Source organism: Homo sapiens, chromosome 10 (genome assembly GCF_000001405.40).
Source record: "Homo sapiens chromosome 10, GRCh38.p14 Primary Assembly".
In the NCBI taxonomy this organism is placed as follows: domain Eukaryota; kingdom Metazoa; phylum Chordata; class Mammalia; order Primates; family Hominidae; genus Homo; species Homo sapiens.
The window spans coordinates 26,547,105-26,570,846 of NC_000010.11; the positions used below are offsets into that span (position 1 = coordinate 26,547,105).

General features: G+C 42.0%; 1 protein-coding gene across 2 annotated transcripts in view, besides 1 other annotated feature; it reads left to right on the plus strand.

The window, feature by feature from the left end:
- The window catches only part of APBB1IP (amyloid beta precursor protein binding family B member 1 interacting protein), a 129,463-nt gene extending 108,764 nt beyond the window's left edge, over nt 1–20,699 (plus strand). For both annotated transcript variants that reach the window (NM_019043.4, XM_011519514.3), the window contains 4 exons: nt 13,001–13,099; nt 13,626–13,740; nt 15,222–15,325; nt 19,857–20,699. In NM_019043.4, coding sequence (NP_061916.3) covers nt 13,001–13,099; nt 13,626–13,740; nt 15,222–15,325; nt 19,857–20,384 — 846 coding nt within the window. In that variant the 3' untranslated portion in view covers nt 20,385–20,699. The remainder of the gene's footprint in view (nt 1–13,000; nt 13,100–13,625; nt 13,741–15,221; nt 15,326–19,856) is intronic.
- Nucleotides 3,963–4,352: an enhancer, noted in NCBI's record as "active region_3170". NCBI's record gives its function as "activates an Ori minimal core promoter by ATAC-STARR-seq in GM12878 lymphoblastoid cells {active_cell/tissue: GM12878}" and the evidence as "EXISTENCE:reporter gene assay evidence [ECO:0000049][PMID:35858748]".
- Nucleotides 20,700–23,742: the final 3,043 nt, after the last annotated feature.

Consider the following 23,742-nt stretch of genomic DNA (forward strand, 5'->3'; position numbering starts at 1 on the left):
AAAATCTCATTGTAGTTTTGATTTGCATTTCCTTGGTGGTTAGTGATGTTAAGCATTTTTTAAATTCCTATTGGCCCTGTGTATGTCTTCTGTGGTGAAATATCTATTCACGTCTTTTGTCCATTTTTTAAAAATTGGATTATTTGGGTTTTTTGCTAGTGAGTTATATGAGTTCCTTATATATTCTTCTTATTAACCCTTAGTCAAATGTATAATTTGCAAATATTTTTTCTCATTCTGTAGGTTGTCTCTTTACTCTGTTGATTGTTTTCCTTGCTAGGCAGATTCACCGTTTTGGGTCTTTCTTTTTGTTGGTTTGTTTGTTTGTTTTGCTTTGTTTTGTTTTGTTTTTTTGAGACACAGTTTCGCTCTTGTTGACCAAGCTGGAGTGCAATGGCATGATCTCAGCTCACTGCAACCTCCGCCTCTCGGGTTCAAGCAATTCTCCTGCCTCAGCCTCCCGAGTAGCTGGGATTACAGGAACGCGCCACCACTCCCAGCTAATTTTTTTGTATTTTTTAGTAGTGATGGGGTTTCACCATGTTAGCCAGGCTGGTCTCGAACCCCTGACTTCAGGTGATTCGCCTACCTCGGCCTCTCAAAGTGCTGGGATTACAGGCATGAGCCACTGCGCCCGGCCAGTTTTGGGTCATATATTAACTAATCTATTTTGGGTCGATTTTTGTTTATGGTGAGAAATAGGGGTCAAGTTACACGCTTTGCATGTAGATATCCAGTTAACCCAACACTGTTTATTGAAGACACTATCTTTCCCTCAATGTGACTTTTTTGGTTTGTTTTTCTTCTTCTTTTTCTTTTGTGGGGGACACCTTTGTTGAAAATCAGTTGGCTCTAAATGCATTGATTTATTTCTGGACTCTCTATCTTGTTCCATTGGTCTATGTGTCTGTTTTTATGCCAATACCACACTGCTATAGATTTGTAGTATATTTTGAAATCAGTTTGTGACTCCTCCAGCTTTGTTCTTTTTGCTCAAGGTTGCTTTGGCTATTTGGAGTCTGTGTTTCCACATAAATTTGAGGATTGCTTTTTTCTATTTCTGTGTGAAGTATGACATTAAAATTTTTTTTTATTATTATACTTCAAGTTTTAGGGTACATGTGCACAACGTGCAGGTTAGTTACATATGTATACATGTGCCATGTTGGTGTGCTGCACCCATTAACTCGTCATTTAACATTAGGTATGTCTCCTAATGCTATCCCTCCCCCCTCCCCCGACCCCACAACAGGCCCCGGTGTGTGATGTTCCCCTTCCTGTGTCCATGTGTTCTCATTGTTCAAGGGATTGCTTTGAATCTGTAAATTACTTTTGGTAGCATGGACATTATAACAATATTAATTCTTCCAATTTATGAACACGGGATATCTTTCCATTTATATCCTCTTCACCTTCTTTTATCACTGTTTTATAGTTTTCGTCATAGAGCTCTTTCTCCTCCTTGGTTAAATTTATTTCTAGGTATTTTATTTTTGTGTAGGTATTGTAATGGGATTGCTTTCTTGATTTTCAGATAGTTGGCTACTGTTGAATAGAAATGCTACTAATTTTTGTATGCCGATTTTCTATCGTGAAACTTTACTGCATTTGTTTATTAGTTCTAACAGTTTTTTTGGTGGAGTCTTTGAGATTTTCTACATATGAGATCATGTTGTCTGCAAACAGAGACCATTTGACTTCCTCCTTTCCAATTTGGATGCCTTTTCTTTCTTTCTCTTGCCTAGTTGGTCTCGCTAAGAGTTCCAGTACTATGCAGAATAGTAGCAGTGAAAGTGGGCATCCTTATCTTGTTTGAGATCTTAGGGAAAAAGCTTCTAATTTTTTCCCATTCAGGGTGATGTTGGCTGTGGGTTTAACATATATAAACTTTATTACGTTGAAGTATGTTTCTTCTATACCTAATTTGTTGAGATGCTGAATTTTTGTCAAATGCTTTTTCTGCATCTGTTGAAATAAGCATTTGGTTTTTAATCTTTATTCTGTTAATGTGATGTGTCACATTTATTGATTTGTATATGCTAAACTATCCTTGTATTGCTGGGATGAATCCCACTTGATCATGATGAATGGTCTTTTAAATATGCTATTTAATTTGGATTGCTAGTATTTTTTTGAGGACTTTTGTATCTATGTTCATCAGGGATGTTGGCCTGAAGGTTTTCTTTTTTGTTGTGTCCATGTTTGGTTTTGGAATTGGGATAATGTAGGCCTCATAGAATGAGTTTGGAAGAGTTTCCTCCTTTTCAATTTTCTGAAATAGTTTGTGAAGAATTAGTCTTTATATGTTTCTAGAACTCAGCAGTGAAGCCATCAGGTCCTGGGCTTTTCTTTGATAAGAGACTTTTTATTACAGCTTCAATTTCATTACTCATTGTTGGTCTTTTTAGGTTTTCTGTTTCTTCCTGTTTCAATCATGGTAGGTTATATGCATCTAGGATTTTAGTCATGTTTTCCTAGGTTTTCCATTTTGCTAGTGTGTAATTATTTATAGTAGTTTTTATGATCTTTTGTATTTCTGTAGTATCAGTTGTAATGTCTTTCTTTTCATCTTTCATTTTATTTCTTTCAGTCATCTTTCTTTTTTTCTTAGACTAGCTAAAGGTTTCTCAATTTTATTTTTTCAAAAAACTTACTCTTTGTTTTATTAATATTTGTGTTTTAGCCTCTTTTAGCCTTAATATTTCTTTTTCAAATGAATGAAATTAATCTCTATTTCATTTATTTGTGCTCTGATCTTTATTATTTCTTTTCTCCTACTAATTTGGGGTTTAGTTTGTTCTTATTTTTTCTAGTTCCTTGAGATGCATCATTAGATTGTTTATTTGAGAGCTTTCTTTGGCTGAAAAAGTCTTTATCTCCTTCATTTCTGAAGAATAGCTTTTCTGGGTACAGTATTCTTGGTTTTTTTTTTAATCTTTTTTTTAATCTTTCATCACTCTGAATATATTGTCCCACTCTTTCTTGGCCTGCAAGGTTTCTGCTAAGTCTGCTGCCAGGCATATTAGAATTCCCTTATGTGTTATTTGCTTTTTTTTTCTTGCTGCTTTCAGGTGCATCGCTTTGTCTTTGACCTTTGAGAATTTGATTATGATATATATTGGAGTATTCTTATTTAGGTTGAATCTGATTGGTGACCTTTGACCTTCCTGTGCCTGGATATTTGTATCTTTCTTCTGATTTGGAAGCTTTTCTATTATTATTTATTTGAATAAGCTTTCTATCCCTTTTCATTCTTTACTCTCTCTTTAAAGTTAGTTACATGTAGATTTGCTCTTTTGATGATGTCCCATGGGTCATGTAATTTTTTCTTTATTCCTTTTCATTTTTTTCCTTTTTTCTCCTTTGACTATGTATTTTCAAATAGCCTGCCTTCAAGCTGACTGATTATTCTGCTTGATCAATTCTGCAGTTGATGTCCTCTGTTTCATTTTTCATTTTGTTTGTTATACTTTTCAGCTCTAGGATTTGTTTGTTTTTTTAATTATTTCTATTTATCTGATGAATGCTTCTGATAAATTTCTGAATTGCTTCTCTGTGTTTTCTTGAAGTTTGCTGAGTTTTGTTATAACAGCTATTTTTGAATTCTTTGTCTGCCAGATAGCTGGCACCTCTTTTTGTCCATTTAGTGAGACCATGTTTTCTAGGCTATTCTTACTCCTTGTAGACATTGGGCTCTGTCTTTGCATTGTTGAGTTAGGTATTTATTTCAGTCTTCCCTGTCTGGATTTGTTTATGACCGTTCTTTTTTAGTGGGCGTATGCAGAAATTGTGAGCAGATTGACTTTTGTATGTCATTTCAGCACTAGAGGGCCTCCTAAGTCCAGGTTAGACCCGAATCCTACACTAACTCTGCCGAGGATACACTGTTCAAACTGCATGGGCCCTGGGAGACCCACAGAGGGCCCACTGGATGGTGTGGGAAAGCCGGTCAGGCTCTCAGGTCCAGAGGTTCTGTGGACCATGCCTCCCACAGCACAGCATAAACAGCCCATCTGGTGTATCATCACATCTGGCAGGGAAGGTGAGCCACTGCCAAATTTGTCCACCTGGCTGCTGCTAGCCCCACTCCCTCTCTTTGTCCCTTGCTGGCCTCACGTGTTTCAGCCCCGTTGGTACTTGGTACTCACAGTGCTCTCCATAGGCCCATGCAGAAGCAAGCCTCCCACAGAAGGACCCAGTGTGGTAAGAAACCTGAGTGTGAGTCCGGGGGGACTTTCCATGTGTGGGTACCGCAGTGGCTCAGGGGAGGGGCAACATAGTCAGGGGAAACCATCCCCTTACCGTCCAACTGCGGTTTCACTCATTTTTGCAGTCCAGCGGGGCTTCCCAGTCTCACTCACGGTCAGTTTCCTTAGCCCTCATAAAGGCACTTTTGTGCGTGGATAGAAGCCGTTCCTTCATGCATTCTTTCTCATTCCATTCTGGGGCTAGATGCAATGGGGCAGAAGTAAATATCTTCCAGGAGAAGTTATGTTTCTATGGAGGCCCGTTAGGAAGTAGTGGAATGTCATGGAAGGAGCGCTGGAATTCCGCCCCGTCGCTCACCTGCTTCCTACCCCTTACTCAGCTATATTTTTCTTTACAGTATTTTTCACAATGAAAAATTATATTACTTTAGTGTTTTGTATTTTTATTGGCTTTCTCCCATAGTAGAATATAAATGTCATGAGAGCAAGGACTTTTTCTATTGTGTTCACTATTGTGTTCCAGAGCTTGGAGTGATATTTGACACATTGTAAATGCTCAATACATATCAGATGAATGGATAGATTAATGGATGGGTGGATGGACAGATGGGTGGGTGGATGGATGGATGGATGGATGGATGGATGGATGGATGGAATACAGATCAAAGCCCCTTGTACCATTGTGTCCTTCAAAACATGGTTCAGGGCAGGCACAGTGGCTCATGCCTGTAATCCCAGCACTTTGGGAGGCCAAGGCAGAAGGATCGCTTGAGCCCAGGAGCTCGAGACCAGCCTGAGCAACATATCAAGACCCCATCTCTACAGAAAAACTTTTTAAATCAGCAGGGTGTGGTAGCATGCACCTATAGTTCCCACTACTCAGAAGTCTGAGGCAGGAGGATCCCTTGAGCCCACATTCAAGGTTGCAGTGAGTTATGATCACACTACTGCACTCCAGCCGGGGCAACAGAGTGAGACTCTGTCTCTAAAGAAATGCTTAATTAGCTGGGCACTGTGGCCCATGTGTGTAATCCCAGCATTTTCGGAGGTCAAGGCAGGAGGATCACTTGACCTTAGGAGTTCGAGACCAGCCTGGGCAACATAGGGAGACCCCCGTCTCTACAAAATATTTAAAAATCAGCCTGGTGTGGTGGTGCACACCTGTAGTCCCAGCTACTCAGGAGGCTGAGGCAGAAGGATTGCTTGAGGCCAGGAGTTTCAGGGTGCCGTGAGCCACAGTCACACTGTTGCACTGTGGCCTGGGCAACAGAGCAAGACCTACCTCTAAAAAAGAAAGGAATGAAAGAAAGAAAGAAGGAAAGAAAAAAAAAAGGAAGGATAAGAAAGAAAACGGAGAACAGGATTGAATCGTCCCAGTTTACTTCCTGTTTACTTCTAAATTTATCCCACGCAGTAACTCTCCTACCTCCTGACTCTCCATCTCAGAGGAAGAAGGCTCCTATCTCCAACGTGGCCTCTGGAACCACATCGTCAGCCACTCCCTTTGGCTTCAGCATCTTCAAACCCTCTGCAGACAATTCTTCTCTTTTCCTTGGGCCACAGACATTTTCAAATATTCCTTGGTTTGGGGGCTCTAACTCACTCCCCTCAGTGGTATCTGCCCCACCTCTTCAAGCAGCACCTTTGACCTCTGTCTTCTCTTTAACTCAGACTTCCTGAGAAAGTGATGATGCCCTCCATGTCCTCAACTTTTTTTTTCTTTTTTTGAGATGGAGTCTCGCTCTGTCGCCCAGGCTGGAGTGCAGTGGCGCGATCTCAGCTCACTGCAACCTCCGCCTCCCAGGTTCAAGCAATTCTCCTGCCTCAGCCTCCTGAGTAGCTGGGATTACAGGTGCCCGCCACCACACCCAGCAAATTTTTGTATTTTTAGTAGAGACAGGGTTTCACCGTGTTGGTCAGGCTGGTCTCGAACCCCTGACCTCATGATCCACCTGCCTCAGCCTCCCAAAGTGCTGGGATTACAGGTGTGAGCCACCGCACCCGGCCTCAACTTTTATTCTCATAGTTTAATTCATTCATTCAACAACATTCCTTTCAGCCAGGCACAGTGGCCTACACCTGTAATTCCAGCACTTTGGGAGGCCGAGGCAGGGGGATTGTTTGAAAGCAGAAGTTCAAGACCAACCTGGGCAACATTGTGAAACCTCGTCTCTACAAAAAATTTAAAAACATTAGCTGGGCATGGTGGCGCACATCTGTGGTCCCAGCTCCTCAGGTGGCCGATCGGGGTGGGAGAATCACTTGAGCCCAGGCGTTGGAAGTTGCAGGGAGCCATGATTGCACCACTGCACTCCAGCCTGGGCAACAGAGGCAGACCCTTTCTCTACGAATGTATACATATATCTTTTGAATTTTCTTTATTCAGACTTGGGGGTACATCGGTAAACAAAACAAAGGCCTCTGGCTTTGTGGAGTTTGCATGCTAGCAGGCTTCTCCCTGCACCTCTGTGGAAACTGCTATTATTAAGATTTCCAAAGAATAGTGGCTTTCTCCAGTCCTCATGGCATCTTTTGCATTGATGACAGCATCCTCATTTTATGGTCTTCAAACTGGACCCCTACTCTGCTTCTGCTGGTGCCTCCTCCTTCCCTACACACTGTAATGCTCTCCAGGGTCCTAAATTCAGTTCTCACCAGACTCCCCGTGCTCTCGCTGAGATCACATTCACAGCCACAGCTCCAACCATTGTCTGTGTTGGAGACAAATAATTCCTAATCCGTAGTGGACAGTCTCACCTTCTTCCCTAGCTCCACACGTGCAGTAACCACATGTCCAAGGGGTACCTCTATCATGCACACTGATTTCAACATTTCCTCCACCCCCTGCTTTCCACAGTCCCTCAAGGATGAATGGCACCATCACCTACTCTATTCGTTTTCTGGAGCTGCTGTAACAAACTGCTGGTAACTAGATAACTTCACAGAAATTTATTTATTGAAGAGTTCAGGAGACCAGAAGTCCCAAATCAAGGTGATATTGGAATCAGAAGTCCAAAATCAAAACCAGAGTTGTGTTCCTTCTGAGGGCTCAGAGGCAAAATCTGTTCCATGCCTCCACGCCTCTTCTAGCTTCCGGCAGCTCCCAGCAGTGCTGGCATTCCTTGGCTTGCAGCTGCGTGTGCCAATCTCTGCCTCCCTCAACATGTGACTATCTTCTTTCTTTGTCTTTGTCTGTGTCTGTTTCTTCTCTTCTTATAAGAACGTGTCATTTTGGTGGTTGTTTTTGTTTGCTTGTTTTTTGTCGGTTTTGGTGTTTTTTGTTTTCTTGAGACAGGGTCTCACTCTGTTGCTCAGGCTGAGTGTGGTGGTATGATCACAGCTCATGGCAGCCTCAACTTCCTGGGCTTAAGTGATCCTCCTGCCTCAGCCTCCCAAGTAGCTGGGACTACAGGTGCACACCACCACACCTGGCTAATTTTTTGTATTTTTTGCAGAGATGGGGTTTAGCTATGTTGCCCAAGCTGATCTTGAGCTCTTGGGCTCAAGCAATCCACCCACCTTGGCCTCCCAAAGTGCTATGATTACAGGTGTGAGCGACCACACCCGGCTTACACCAGTCTCTTTGGATTTAGAGCCCACTTTCATCAGGATGACTTCATCTTAACTTTATTACATCTGGCAATGACCCTATTTCCAAATAAGGTTACATTCATAGGTACCAGGAGTGAGTACCATAGCTTTTAGGAGGAGGGAGATAATTAAACCCATAACATCCACCTACTCTACCAAGCTAGAAACAGAAAAAGCATGCCTGATTTTCTTCCTGTCCCCATTTCTCGTTAATCTATGAGCAAGTTCTTCTATTTCCCATCAAGATCTCCCATTGAGCCCTCCCTCAGTTCGATCTTATTCTTCACTCCAGATCCATCTTCCTCATAGCCCCCAGTGACTTCCTGTGTCACTGTGCTGTTTTAAAATGTCCAGTGCCCCCCACTGCCCAGGGGATCATGTCTAGATTCTAGTTTGACTCAAGGGTCTTTACTCAGATTCCACACCAGCTTAATTTCTGCTTCTTCATTCCATGGTTTCCAGACCTCAGCCATACAGAATTTCTCCATGTTCTCCAAATATATTACAGCATTCTGTCGCTTCTTCCAAAGACCCTCTCTTGGCCCATTTTCAAACTTTTAGTATGGAACATACTATTTCATAATCACATTACATATGTGATTTGATTACATCAGGTGTTTACATACATCTCTCCCTAAAACACCTCCAGGGAGCATTGCCCAATTAACACATGAGCTCTCTTATTCCTCTTTTTGTTGTTTTTTTGTTTGTTTGTTTGAGGTAGGGTCTCCTCCAGCCCAGTCTGGAGCACAGTGGCACAATCATGGCTCACCGCAGCCTCGAACACCTGGTTCCATCTATCCTCCCACTTCAGCATCTCTAGTAGCTGGAACTACAGGTGTGTGCCACAACACCTGGTTAATTTTTGTACTTTTTGTAGAGACAAGGTTTCACTGTGTTGCCTAGGCTGATCTCAAATTCCTAGCCTCAAGTGATCTGCCTGTCTTGGCCTCTCAAAGTGCTGGGATTACAGGTGTGAGCCACGGGGCCCTGCCTCTCTTACTCCTCTTAATGTACCTAGGAATTAGCATATTTCTTGGCACCCAGAGATATTTATTGAACAAACAGGACCTTGGTTCTTTCACTACCTTTGGCCTTGGATAAATTGCTCACCCTCTCTCACCCTGTTTTCTCATTTCGTAAGCTCAGAGGGTCTATAAGTGCCCTTTAAGCAGTGACAGTCCACAATCGCCCTGACCTCTGTGTGCTGTTCTCATGTCCCAAGAGAGCTTCTCTCTCTTTATGATCGGGAACAATCAAATCAATTGCGAAAGAGCCTGGCCAGTGACACTGCACCAGCATTTTCCTGAAACCTCTTTGCAAATGATTATTCAGCAAAAGGCTCGGTTAGGCAATAAGCTCCTTGGCAAAGTCTCAAGACACGGTGGAGAACAAGCCCAGTGACTTGCTCTATAATGTCTGCAAGGCTGAACGATTTCTGCATCACCAAGGGAGCCAGAAAGGAGCTTTTTCCCATTAGGTAGCTCATCTTAGAACCATAAAATCTGAGGATTGCTAGAGACCTTAGAGGTCATAGAATCCTCCTGTATACATCCATAGCACACATATAGTGTAAGGAAGGAACTTGGTGAGACCTGACCTATAGCAAGGTTTATCACCCCATCATCAGGGGGCTGTTTTATGTTCAAAAGTCATTTTCTTTAAGGGAGTGACTACATTTTGCTCTATTTCAATGAATAACATTCTTAAGAAATTGTTTAGGGTGCTTGTTAAATGGCTAACTCTATATAAGCAGTTGCTTTGTGCATTTTGTTGCAAACACGATGAGATTTAGTCTGCTCTGGAAACTTGGTTCTCACGTGACATCTACCAAAAACAATAATAGATTATCTTGAAGGTAACAATGTCAGCTTTTTAAATGTCTGAGTGGGGGGTGGGTGGAATAGCTGCTTTCTAAGAACAATTATAAACATTCAATTGCTGAAGAGACCAATGCTTGCCTCTCTTACATGACAATCAGAACACAAATGCTGTTTGTAGGTCAGAGAGCCGTGTTTCTGGTGCTGAAAGACAAGGGCATTGGTTTGGCTTTGCACATGTTATTGTTGAAGGGAATGCTGGAGGCATTTGTGGGCTGTCATGTTCCAGCCAATAAGTGTTGGCTTTAGTATATTTTTCATCAATATGACCTTCAGGTTAATTAAGAAAACAAATCCTTTTTGCTATCGGGCCATATTACCTGAGTTGATAGATATTTCCAATTTTAAGGGCCTCCAAAGAGGATCATTATTGGAGTAACATTTGCAAAAATAAAATCTAACATTCAGAATGAGGGAGTAAGCATTGAACCGCCAAAACAGTAAAATGCCCAGCAGCCATTCAAAAGTGTTTGCTGTCATCTGCTGGCTAGACTGGAAAACTACAGCAACATTCAGGAGCCTGATGTGAAGTTCTCACCGTCGGTAGAGAGAATGTCTGTGTTCCTGTTTGCTATGCCCAAGCAAATAGGAATTGACCGTTCTTCGAGCAATGGAGATGCAATTTCTGAGGCCGAGTGACCTACATAGAGAATACATATTTAAAGACAAAAATATGAGTAGAGTTTCCTCAGTTGCCTGAAAAGACCAAAGAGAGGAATTTTTAAAAAATCATTTCTGAATTTTTCCGTAGTCTCTTCCAAGTCTGGGATTTGGGTTTAATAGCTTAATACAAACACAGAAATTCTAGGTGGTTAGTCAGGAGACCCCCAGGTTCTAGTGGGGTCACAGGGAGGAATATATAGTAACCTCTCTGAGCCTCAGTTTTCTCATTTGTGAAACCAAAAATTACTAAACTCTCGTCAAGCTCTTGGAGTCTATAAAGGTCTTGTTATCCTTTCTGGACAAAGATTACAATCCCACACGCTCTTGCTGGCTGAGTCATTAGAAAGTCTAGCAGAGTGACTAGACGCTGCCAGTCAGATTCCAACTGAAGTTTAAAGACACGAGACCCTTTGCTTAGAACAACTTTGAGAATAGCCATTTCCTTGGAGGTCAGTGATTTAAGATGGAAAGCGAAAGAGAAGTGGAGAGGTCCATGCAATACCCTAAGAGAGGAATTGGACAGCTTCCCTCCTTTCCTGCCAACTGAAGAGCAGATAGATGCTTCCAGCTCTCTTGGCTTTCCATTCCACTTTCAGCACCACCAGCAAATGAGGATTATCCTAGCAGGATTAATGAATCCTCTGAGGACAGGAGGAAGAAGAAAGAGGTGGTACCATACCACACACACACACAAACACACACACACACACACACACACACACGATGCTTGTGGTTAATTATTTTTCTACATAATAAAATGTATTATAATAAACCTTATAATGACCCATGAAAATTTACATGGCCCATATTAATATCTCAGAACCTATGTTTGGTTGCCGGCCCCTCGCCTGATGACGGTGATTTCTAACTGAACAGGAAATATTGTGCTTGTTTCTTGATTCTTCAAGTATTCTGACATCTGGACTGGAATACCTGCCATGCGCTGGCCATGTGCTAAGCACTGAGGGTCTTCAGCAGTGAATAAGACAGATGTAGTTCCCACCTTCATGGAAGACACAGTCTATCAGAGACAGACACATAAAACAGAAACTAACTGGGCTTGGTGGTTCACGCATGTAATCCCAGCACTTTGGGAGGCTAAGGTGGGAGGATCACTTGAGCCCGGGGTTTCAGCACCAGACTGGGAAACATAGCAAGAGTGTTTCTTTAAAAAAAAAAAAAAAAAGCCAAGCATGGATGCATGTTTGTGGTCCCAGCGACAGAGGAGGCTGAGGTGGAAGGATTGCGTGAGCCCAGGAGTTAGAGGCTGCAGTGAGCCGTGATGGCACAACTGCACTCCAACCTGGGCAACAGAGTGAGACCCTGTCTTAAAAAATAATAAAAATTAAACCAGAAACAACAGAAGCAATGAGGACTAGGAGGAATGCAAGGAGTTTCTCTTTCACACCTGCCCATTTCCTTCTTCTCTTTGTGAGCTCCTGGAAGGCCTGTTCAGCAACCGGAACCATTGCTTAGTGCTACTTGCACTAAGTGTAATAGACAGAAATATTCCTTCTCCAGGGTGTCCATCTGGAAGCCACTGGCCCACTTGGGCAGCACATAGCAGTTAAGAAGGAAAGGTCATCACAAAACTCTGAATTTTTGGAAGCAGAAAAAACCCTAGAACCAGGTTTTGGGAGTTATAAACCCACAATTCTCATAGGCATTAATTCTATGACATAAGAATTATCTCAGGTAAGTTCCCTTATTTGACAAATGGAAAAGCAGCTCAGATTTCTCATGGGGATAGAGACAAGATAGAGGTGAAAAGCTTCCAAAAGTTAAAAAGGCATAAATGAAAATTATTATTGATAATATAGTAAGAAGTGTTTACAGACAAGGGATGGTGGCTCATGCCTGTAATCCCAGCACTTTGGTTGGCTGAAGCAGGAGGATTGCTTGAGGCCAGGAGTTTGAGACCAGCTTGGGTAATATAGTGAGACTCCAATTCTACCAAAAAAAAAAACAACGTTTTTTTCAATTAGCTGGACATGGTGGTGTGCACCTGTAGTCCTAGCTACTCAGGAAGCTGAGGAGGGAGGATCTCTTGAGCCCAGGAGTTCAAGGTTTGCAGTGAGCTGTGATTGTGCCACTCCAGCCAGGACAACTCTGCCTCTAAAAACTTTTTTTAAAAAGATGTGCTTATGATAAATCATAAAACAAATTTCTTTCTTTCTTTTTTTTTTTTTTTTTGAGACAGAGTCTTGGTCTATCACCCAGGCTGGAGTGCAGTGGTACAGTCTCAGCTCACTGCAACCTCCACCTCCCAGGTTCAAGCAATTCTCCCTCAGCCTCCCGAGTAGCTGGGACTACAGGCACCCGCCACCATGCCCAGCTAATTTCTTTTTCTTTTTTTCTTTTTTCTTTTTGGATTTTCAGTAGAGATGGGGTTTCACCACGTTGGCCAGGCTCATCTCGAACTCCTGACTTCAAGTGATCTGCTCGCCTCGGCCTCCCAACATATAACAAATTTCTTAAATCCTTTCAAAATTTAGTCATTTTTAAAAGTTATCTTCCTAATCTTAACATTACAACCAGTAATTTTTGCCACATAAATCACATATATTGTTAGAGATTTTTTTTAAATTTCCTGACAGGTGCTTTGACCTCCTAATACATGACAAGTGAATACATTGTCTCGAAACTGCTTCTTTCTAGCACCCCCAAATTCAGAAGGAGTCCCAGTATATCAAGTATCTCTGCTGTGATGACACAAGAACCCTTAACCAGTGGGTCATGGGAATACGGATAGCCAAGGTGAGAGAGCGTTCGGACTTCACCCTGTCTTGAACTTGCCAGCCAACTTCCTGACCTGGGCACAGCCTTCCTGGTACTGTGAAACAGCTGGCCCACCCTTGGGTTCAGCCACAGACATTATCAGGTTTATTCGCCCAGTGGGTTTTCTAAATGGGAGGAGCGATAGAAACACGAACCTCTCCAGTAACCGGATATTTACTCATGGCGAGTATTGCAAGCTTAGTGTGCAATTAAAAAACGCAAGATGGAACCTGTGATCGAGTTACATAAAGACACACGTAATCAGAACTGAGCAAAGCTCTTCTCTAATATGTAGGTGAAAAAATTAACTGACTCTGTTAATCTGGAAAATGATTGAATGTGTATTTGTTAAATTTTAATGGAAATATCCAAAAAACCAACTCAGACAAGTGGTGAACAGAGTAGCCGTGGAGTATTTATTTCTTCTGTATATGTATATTGCAATTGAGTGCAGAATTTGGGATACATGGATTCCTTTCCTTCTTCCTTTGTGTTCTCTCCCCAGTATGGGAAGACTCTCTATGATAACTACCAGCGGGCTGTGGCAAAGGCTGGACTTGCCTCTCGGTGGACAAACTTGGGGACAGTCAATGCAGCTGCACCAGCTCAGCCATCTACAGGTACTAAGTGGAGGAGAAATTCCAACACATATTCAAAGCTTGGTGCTCCAGTTCAAAATGTATCCAATACATCTATACAAACAGGACTTTGTACACAGCATTCAGAATATGTTTCTCACCTGATGATCAGGCTCAAACTCCCCGACTCAGCCCAGCCCTCACACACACACCCCTATAACATCTGTTTTCTTTTTCTTTTCTTTTTTTCTTTCTTTCTTTCTTTTTTTTTTTTTTTTTTTTTTTTGAGACTCTCTCGCACTGTTGCCCAGGCTGGAGTGCAGTGGCGGGATCTCAGCTCACTGCAAGCTCCGCCTCCTGGGTTCACACCGTTCTCCTGCCTCAGCCTCCTGAGTAGCTGGGACTACAAGCGCCCGCCACCATGCCTGGCTAATTTTTTGTATTTTTAGTAGAGACAGGGTTTCACCGTGTTAGCCAGGGTGGTCTTGATCTCCTGACCTCGTGATGCACCTGCCTCAGCCTCCCAAAGTGCTGGGATTACAGGCGTGAACCATTGCACCTGGCCTGTTTTCTTTTTCTTCTTTGCTTTTTTTTTTTTTTTTTGGAGGTAAGGTCTTGCTCTGTCACCCAGGCTGGAGCCCTGTATCTATTTTAAGCGCCTTTTAACAAAGCTTTGACCACTTCTTTCGTGATATTCTGTGGATGAGGTGTTGATCTCCTGTTTACAGTGAGCTAGTAGGTAGATGTTTCTTATCAAAGTACAAACATTATATCAGTCCAAGGCTCCATTAGTGCCCAGAAAACTGTTCACACCAAGAATAAGATTATGCCCTGGTGTTTTGATGTCTTGCACCCAATCCTGGACAGCACATTTTAAGGTAACATGAGTCAAAGTTCTGTGTCAAAAGGACAAATTAAAAGGCAGGAAAATAAAATAGCATACCAGGACTTTTGGGGGGAAAAACCACATCTAATTCCAGATTATTTCAAGGACCCCCACATTTTGCCCGAATTTCTGTCTGTTGTTTCTGTGTCCAATGTACTTTTTGTTGAGGACAATGTTGAAGAGTTGTTCCTGTACCTGTACTCAGTGTGGTGTGAAACTGGATAAATACATTTTAAAAAAATCAAGAATTTTTAAAAATATGTTTTCAAGGTTTATTCTTCAATTACTGAAAAGTTTTTAAAAGTAAAACATATTGTTACTCTCCAGGATCCCAGTTAGTCCAGACCCTCCTCAGTGGGCTTTATCAAATACCGTACTCACCTTCCTGATCTTTTTGCTGAATCTCATATAAAGTTTTGTCACAGAACCTCAGATTTTTCTTAAGGTTTTGTGTACCATGCCATGCCTGTGAGTTGCTCTCTTTGCTTTGTTTTTATTTTTGTTTTTTTTGTAAGAACTAGCCAACAAGTATCTTTCTTTGCTTTAGAGATGCAAACTGCTTTGTATTTTCAGATCGACTTTCAAGAATGTTGAAAATGCTTTGCTCACTCTTCTTTTCTCACTTCTTCCCTCTCAGGACCTAAAACAGGCACCACCCAGCCCAATGGACAGATTCCCCAGGCTACACATTCTGTCAGTGCTGTTCTCCAAGAGGCCCAGAGACATGCTGAAACATCGAAGGTAAAACCAGCAAGCAGCTGACCCCTATAAGCCATGTTCTAAACCATTCACATTATTCCAGTAACTGCTCTTTTAAAAAGAGAAAATAAGCTGAGTGCAGTAGCTCACACCTGTAATCCCAGAACTTTGGGAGGCTGAGGCAGGAGGATCACTTGAGCTTCAGTTTGAGACCAGACTGGGCAATATAGCGAGAGCTTGTCTCTACTAGAAAAAAAAAATTAGCCAGGCATGGTGGCATGCACCTGTAGTCCCAGCTACTGGGGAGGCTGAGGTGTTTGACTTGCTTGAGCCCAGGAGGTTAAGGCGGCAGTGATCTGTGATTGCGCCACTGCATTCCAGCCTGGGCGACAGAGTAAGATCCAGTCTTAAAATAAATAAATAAATAAATAAATAAATAGAAAATGCAGTTCCAACAACTGAGAAGTTACTACAATTTAATTTAGTTGATTGCTTGATATTTGTAATCTTAAAGTTACATATGCTAGAATCAAAAGTTAAAACCAGCTATCATCACACTGCTTAGGAAAAATGTAAGCATTTCCTTTAAACTCTGGAGTTAATTAGCTATGTTTACTTTGACCAAAGTGGTTTTCTTGGTTTAGTCAAGTGATTTTAGCCCTCTCTGATAGTAGCACATCCAAGTTTTAAACCCATGGGATTTTACTTGCCTTTTTTGAATAAAATAGGGCAACTAGTAGTCTGAAGCCCTATATGAAGTGCTAACTGGCCCCCAAAATCAGATTAGAAGACTGCTAAAAGAGCTACATTATAAATAGGGCTGGGCACAGTGGTGAGCACCTGTAGTCCCAACTACCTGGGATGCTGAGGCAGGAGGATCCCTTGAGCCCAGGAGTTCAAGGCTGCAGTGAGCTCTGGTTGCACCACTACACTCCAGCCTGGGTGACAGATAAAGACCCTGTCTTAAAAAAAAGAAAAAAGATAAAGAAGGGTTACACTAAAAATGTGTATTTTCTATTTTCCCCATTAATGTCCTTCCTACATACATCCCCAGGTGATGGAGGAGAAAATACATTGTAAAATAATAGCCAAATTGGTATAATTCTCCATAAAATTTTTTCAACCGAATAGATCAGTGAAGATTCCTTTAAATCTATCTTAAAATCATAACTAATAATTATTATTTAGTTACTAATTTAGTTCAAAGCTTCTCAGCTGACTGTATATATTCTGTTGAATATTTCTCTTGTGTGATTCAAAACAACCTTAAATAACTGTGACAATAGCATATCACCCAGCTAGGACAGGCAGGGTGCTTCACTTCAACAATTTTTCACTTCTTTCACCCCTTCATTTTGTCCATCAGCCAGTGGTGAAAACAACTAAATATTGGTATTTATCGAACTTATAATTTTGACAACCACTGCAGACCTTTAAACGTTGTATTTCTTTAATGTTCTCATTATCTTCTCAAGCCTGACAATCTCCTCATGCGATGTGCTTTCAGCTACTATTATTTTCATTATTTCTAAATGCCAATTGAAGGACAGCATTTAAAAATGCTGAAAGAAATAAAAGAATCTCAGAATAGAAATCACTTAACTATATGTGAACACCAATTCCCAAGCTGCCTGTTCAGAAATTTAAATAAAAAGAAAAAATACATCACCAGTTAAAGAGCTTATCATGTGAAGTAAATAAACTAAATAAAATAGAAACTAAATCAGAAGGCACTTTATTAGAAAAAAATTCCAAATTTAATCTTCAATGGTAAGAGGCCACTAAGCAGAGAATGAAATGAACTGGAACCCTGATAAACTGTAAATTGAAATGATAATTATCACTAAAACAGAGGGATTCAATCCAGCTGCCTGGGGATGTTTCATTATATAAATTATTATTATCTATTCCAGTATTGGCAGAGGAAGGGCTATGCGTCTATTAGACTTAGGCCAAATTTGGCATGCTGGTTTCTACCAATAGCACATGCTGGTGATTTTACTTTTCAGAACTCACATATTTATCTCATTTGATCTCATCACAACCTGAGACACGAGTCATAATGAGGACTATGGGGCTAATTTTATATCCAGTGAACCAGCCAAGTTTCATGCAGTTGAGAAATGGTAAACTGTCCAGACATAGTGGCTCACGCCTGTAATTCCAACACTTTGGGAGGCCGAGGCAGGCGGATCACCTGAGTCCAGGAGTTGGAGACCAGAGTGGCCAATATGTAGAAACCCTGTCTCTACAAAAAGTACAAAAATTAGCTGGGGGTGTTGGCACACACTTGTAATTCCAGCTAATCCGGAGGCTGAGGCATGAGGATTGCTTGAGCTCGGGAGGTGGAGTTTGCAGTGAGGGGAGATGCTGCCACTGCACTCCAGCCGTGGTGACAGAACGAGACTCTGCCTCAAAAAAATAAAAATAAAAATAAAAATAAAATAAAATAAAGAAAAGAAAAAGTAAACTTATTAGAGACCAGATGTCCTGTCCTGATTCCTGGCCCACCACACTGCCTTCCCTGAAGCTGTGAGGCCAGCTGGAGCCAAGCTTGTAATCGGCTCCTCCCTAGAAGCCCACAGTCCTGGCAAAATGGACCTGTGTTCTCAGCTCACCAACACAAGGAGACATTGTCCCCAAAATCAGGCAGAAAGGTCTTTGCCAGGCAACATATCCTTTGTGCCTACGTTTGCACAAAGCTTACCTGTAGCCAAGAGAGAACTATTTCCATTCACTCTTCCCTTTCCATCTCCTTCATCCTAATCAAAGTAGGACATTTAAGCCAGGAGACTGTGTGAAGGTTTTGGGAAGTCCTCAACCCCCAGGAGTTGCTGTGTGTTTCTACTGTGTGTTGTGTGGAATAGGAGCAAGATAATTTTACAGACGCTTACTCCTGACACGAGCTTCACAACCAGCTCAACTCAGACCAAGAAAAAATGTATCCCTTCCTATATGACGAGGACTCTGGTGGCTTGGCTTGAGAACCAAGGAGTGAAGTCATTTGGCTTCCATTTTGAAGGAATGAATGAGCTGAGGGTGGTTTATAGACTGAGCCAACCCCACAAGAGATATACCACGAAAGCCCCTTTAGAGACACACAGCAACTCCTGGATAAGGCAAGTTCCAAGGAAGTGATACTCATGTGATCTAAATACGATCTAAACACCTCATTGAACATAGCCAGATCTTCCATTTATAGGAGACTTGGTAGATGAGTGCCACAGGGTAACTGAACCCAGGTTTGGCTGCTCACCACTTAAAAGCCAGACTCAAGAGATTAGGGATGATGGGAGGAAAAGGTGGTTTATTTGGAAAGCCAGTAACACCATGAAGATGGTGACTAGTGTTCTAAAGTGCAATCTTAAATTTTTCAGGCTAACTGGAGGATTTTAATGGGTGTGGGATATGGGGAAGAGGAGAGAGTTGGGGAGAGAGTTGAGATCAAAAGATGACCAGAGACTGCAGACATCTGGGTGCCAACAAGAGTCCAAAGAGGTTGGGAACTACTCTGTCCTTGGTCAGGTTACAATGGTCATATAAATCTTTAACAAAACATAGTTGTTTACTTCTTTAATCCCAGAGTTAGTTTTTAAAACTACATGATTGCTGGGTTTGCATATTTATATCAGTGCTCTAAAATTATCCTATGTGCAGGAATGGGTAAAGGCCACTTTAAACAAAAATGAAGTAAGTTACATTCGTTTTTTTTGCTGTTCCACTGTAACAACAGGAAATACTGTTAAAGTCCATTTGGGCCAGGTGGGGTGGCCGTAATTCCAGCTACTCAGGAGGCTGAGGCAGGAGGATCACTTGAGGCTAGGAGTCTGAGACTAACCTGGGCAACACAGCGAGACTCCATCTCTAAAAATATATATAGAGAGAGAGACATAGTCTCGTTGTGTTGCCCAGGCTGGAGTGCAATGGCATGATCTCAGCTCATTGCATCCTCCACCTTCCAAGTTAAAACAATTCTTATGCCTTAGCCACCCCAGTAGCCGGGACTACGGGCGTCTGCCACCATACCAGGCTAATTTTTGTATTTTTAAAGGAGAAAAGGTTTCACCATATTGTTCAGGTTGGTCTTGAACTCCTGGACTTAAGTGATCCACCTGCCTGGGCTCCCAAAGTGCTGAGATTATAGGCATGAGCCACCATGCCCAGCCAAAATATTAAAAAATTAGAAAAATGATTATTTTTAATTTTAAAGACCATTTAGAATAATTGCCTTATTCCAGAACAAAGATGAGCTCATGACCGACCAGGAGTCTCAGTGACTGAGGGACAGAGGCTCCCCAGGGGGCGGACAGAGACTCACATATCTATGGCATGGCCCTGTCCACTAGGGCTGTTTTGTCCACTGGGGCTGCCTTGAGAATAAGGAATGCTACTCGGGAGGTCGAGGCAGGAGGATTGCTTGAGCTCGGGAGGTCGAGGCTGCAGTAAGTCCAGATCGCGCCACTGCACTCAGCCTGGGCGACAGAGTGAGACCCCGTCTCCATTAATTAATAACAATAAATTTAAAATTTCAAAAATTAAAAAAAAAATGAATGCTACTGCCACTCGGTTGCAGGATAAGAAGCCAGCCCTCGGGAACCACCACGACCCGGCAGTGCCCCGGGCCCCGCACGCCCCCAAGTCCAGCCTGCCCCCGCCCCCTCCGGTGCGGAGGTCCTCCGACACCAGCGGCAGTCCCGCCACGCCCCTCAAGGCCAAGGGCACAGGCGGCGGGGGCTTGCCCGCCCCACCCGACGACTTCCTGCCGCCGCCGCCACCGCCGCCGCCCCTCGATGACCCTGAGCTCCCGCCGCCGCCCCCGGACTTCATGGAGCCGCCCCCAGACTTCGTGCCCCCGCCCCCGCCGTCGTACGCAGGGATCGCGGGCTCAGAGCTGCCCCCGCCGCCGCCGCCGCCGCCCGCGCCCGCGCCCGCCCCCGTCCCCGACTCCGCCAGGCCGCCCCCCGCGGTGGCCAAGAGGCCTCCTGTGCCCCCCAAGAGGCAAGAGAACCCAGGGCACCCCGGCGGAGCAGGAGGCGGGGAGCAAGATTTCATGTCAGACCTCATGAAAGCTTTGCAAAAGAAGAGAGGCAACGTGTCCTAGGGACGGGCATGATGAGTGTTCCAGAGGGAGAAGCATCGCTGACCCCGAGCGCAGGTTTTGCTAGCAGATTGCCCTGACATCTTGTTCATTTCAGATAAAATGTGATGGGAAACTTCTCACTGATGTGCTCAAGTACAGGCATAACCATTAACCCAGTAGAGTTCAGAATATCTGCCCAAATGTACATATCGTTCCCATGTATTTTAACCTAAATGGAATGTATCTTCCCTTCCAAGCTGCCTAAAGCGCTGTTTTAGGTTCATTTATTTTATTATGTTCAGAAGCATCAAATAAAAGTTAAACGTTTTTCCGGAAGACGGTATTTCTAGAAAGATTATTGGGTCAATCTATCTTGAGATCAACACTATAATTAAAAATAGCTTTCAACATCCCATGCCTTCTTAAGTCTTGGTGACCTCAGATAGACTTTCATGTCTATCTCTATAACCTTTAGAATTTGCAGGAAAATCGAGAGAGGAAAACGAGAAAACATGACAAGCAGAGCCTGTTTCCTTTCTCTGAGATTCCGTGGCTTGATTGATTGGAGTCCTGGACACTGGCTGTTTTGGTTTTGCTTTTATAATGCTTGAATAACAGTAATTGAAAAAAATAGTTATTTAGATAGTTTTTGAATTCTCTGTTATTACAATGCTGTTAGTATCCTGTAAATAAAAATGTAGGGGCAGGAAAAGGCAATCATATATATATTCTTCAACCTGAAATGTTTTCCCTCAGAGATAAGTTTAATGCCCAATTTATCCTAGGTTCTTGGTACCTATATCTCTTCTCTTTCAAATTGGCTTCTGATAGGCCTTTTACATTTTCTTAGTTTTATTTACATCGCTCTGTTTTTGTTTTTGTATTTTTGTGGGGTTTTTTTTTTTAAACTGTAAAACTCAAAATCTTCTTAAAATGAGTGGAAAATCATAATGCATTTTTTTAAATAAAGGAAGCTAATTAATGCTATGTTTTAATATTTGGAGAAAAGTAAGCTCTAAATCATGCTGTGTCAACTCATGGGCTGCAGGTGGCCCAGGACCCCTTTGAATGCTGCCCAATACAAATTAAAATATTATAGCTCTTGGCAGGGTGTGGTGGCTCACACCTATAATCCTAGCATTTTTGGGAGGTGGACTCAGATGGATGACTTGAAGTCAGGAGTTTGAGGTCAGCTTGGCCAACATGGCAAAACCTTGTCTGTACTAAAAATACAAAAATTAGCCAGGTGTGGTGGCGCATGCATGTAATCCCAGCAACTCCAGAGGCTGAGATGGGAGAGTCCCTTGAATCCAGGAGGCAGACACTGCAGTGAGCTGAGATCATGCTACTGCACTCTGTCCTGGGAGATGGAGCGAGACACTGTCTCAAAAACATTATGAGATTTTTCTCAACTTTTTGTGTTGTTGTTCATCACCTATCATCGCTAATGTAAGTGCATTTTATATGTAGCCCAAGACAATTCTTCCAGTGTGGCCCAGGGAAGCCACAAGATTGGACACCCCTGCAGTTTAAATGAACCTTTAAAATGAAAAAAAAAAAAGAATAGTTTTAAAACCAAAATATTTAGTAATTAAAACTGGCAGGGTGCTCTTAATTTTTTCTGGAGCATATGCTTGAAATAGGATAGAAGGTAAATTTGCTTTACATTCAATTTAATCCCATGAACAGTAACTCTCCCCAGTTCTCATTTTATTATGTTCCTTTGACATTAGATGCGGTAAAAACGCTGCTTTTCTGATACCCAACTAAATCATGGTCATTATGCAGATCTCTGGGACAATACAGGAAAGATGTCAGCAAAGAGAAGTGTGAAAATTGTCAGAATCAAAATGGAGTCACTTACGTTAAGAAAATGCTGACAAATAGAGCCAGCCAAGTCCATGAAACGAGAGTTTTCATGAGGATAATATTCTGTGATTTTCACTCAAGTGTAATGCAATCTTTGGTGTCTGGCTGAAAGGTCTGTACAAGTATTACGTATACCTGAGTAGGATTATTTAGATCCTGAAAATGCAGCAAAATTTGTTTCTTTATGAAAAGTTTAGTGAGATATTTGTATGTGGTGCAGGGGGTGGAAAAACTGGAGTGAAATTGGGAACTAGAGAAGGAGTACGTGGATAATAATATATGTTATGAATAATAATATATAAGCAATAATATAGGACAGTAATCCTGTATCACAGCTTATAAAAACTCAGTAATTTCTTGTATAATGCTTCTAATGGGGCATTGCAATAGGCCAACTGCAATACAAACCGCAGCATTTGGCAGAGTTTACAGAAAACATGATTTAACTTTAGTTCATGATAGAATGTGAACTAAGATTTTACAGTAGGTCCTCAAGGAGGAGAATGAACATTTAAGCCTCGTATTTTGTTTGATCATGGGAATCTTGGCTGGTATGATACTGAAATGACCCAATTCCATGATAATTGAGGCTTCGAAGTGTGTTTAAGACTTATGGCTTGATGTGTGATCCATTTTTACCGACGGTTTATGTGTACTTGGGTACAATATACATGTTCTTTAGAACAAGCTTGTGAAGCATGTTGCACAAATCTTCTGCCTGCAGCCTGTTATCTGGTCTGTCGCATCCATCAATTACTAAGAAGAATGTTTTAAAATCTTCTGAGGGCAAATTTGTCAGTATCTTTTCATTGTTCTGGCAAATTGTGCTTTATATATTCCGACACTGTTTATTATTAAGTGTAAACAAAAATTACGTATGTGACTTCCTGGTGAATTGAACCGTCCATCACCATGCAATGTTTTCTGCTTTTTGTCTTGTACTCATGCAGCTGTACTGTCTTTTTTCAGGTATTTGCCTGACAAATCTATTCATGCACTTTCAAACTCGTCATGCCTTTATGTTCTACATTTGCCACTTGTAAATGACATATAAGCAGATTTTGTTGTGTTTATATCTAGTTAGTAATTATTATCTTTTAACTGCAAGTTTATTCTTTTTAAATTTTTTAATTTTCTTTTTTTTTTTTTATTTTTAGAGACAGGGTCTCATTCTGTCACCCAGGCTGGAGGGCAGTGGTGCAATCATGGCTCACTGCAGCCTCAACCTTCTGGACTCAAGCCACCCTCTTGCCTCAGCCTTCCAAGTAGCTAGGACTACAGGCTCATACCACCATGCCCAGCTAATTTTTTTTTTTTTTTAGTAGATATGGGGGTCTCACTATGTTGCCTAGGCTGTTCTCTAACTCCTGGCCTCAAGCAATTCTTTTGTCTTAACCTCCCAAAGCGCTGGAATTACAGACATGAGCCAAAACGCCCAGCCTATTATTTTTACTCTGAATGTGATTACATAGTTTGTTTTTAACATCTTATTTTGTACTTACTATTACCC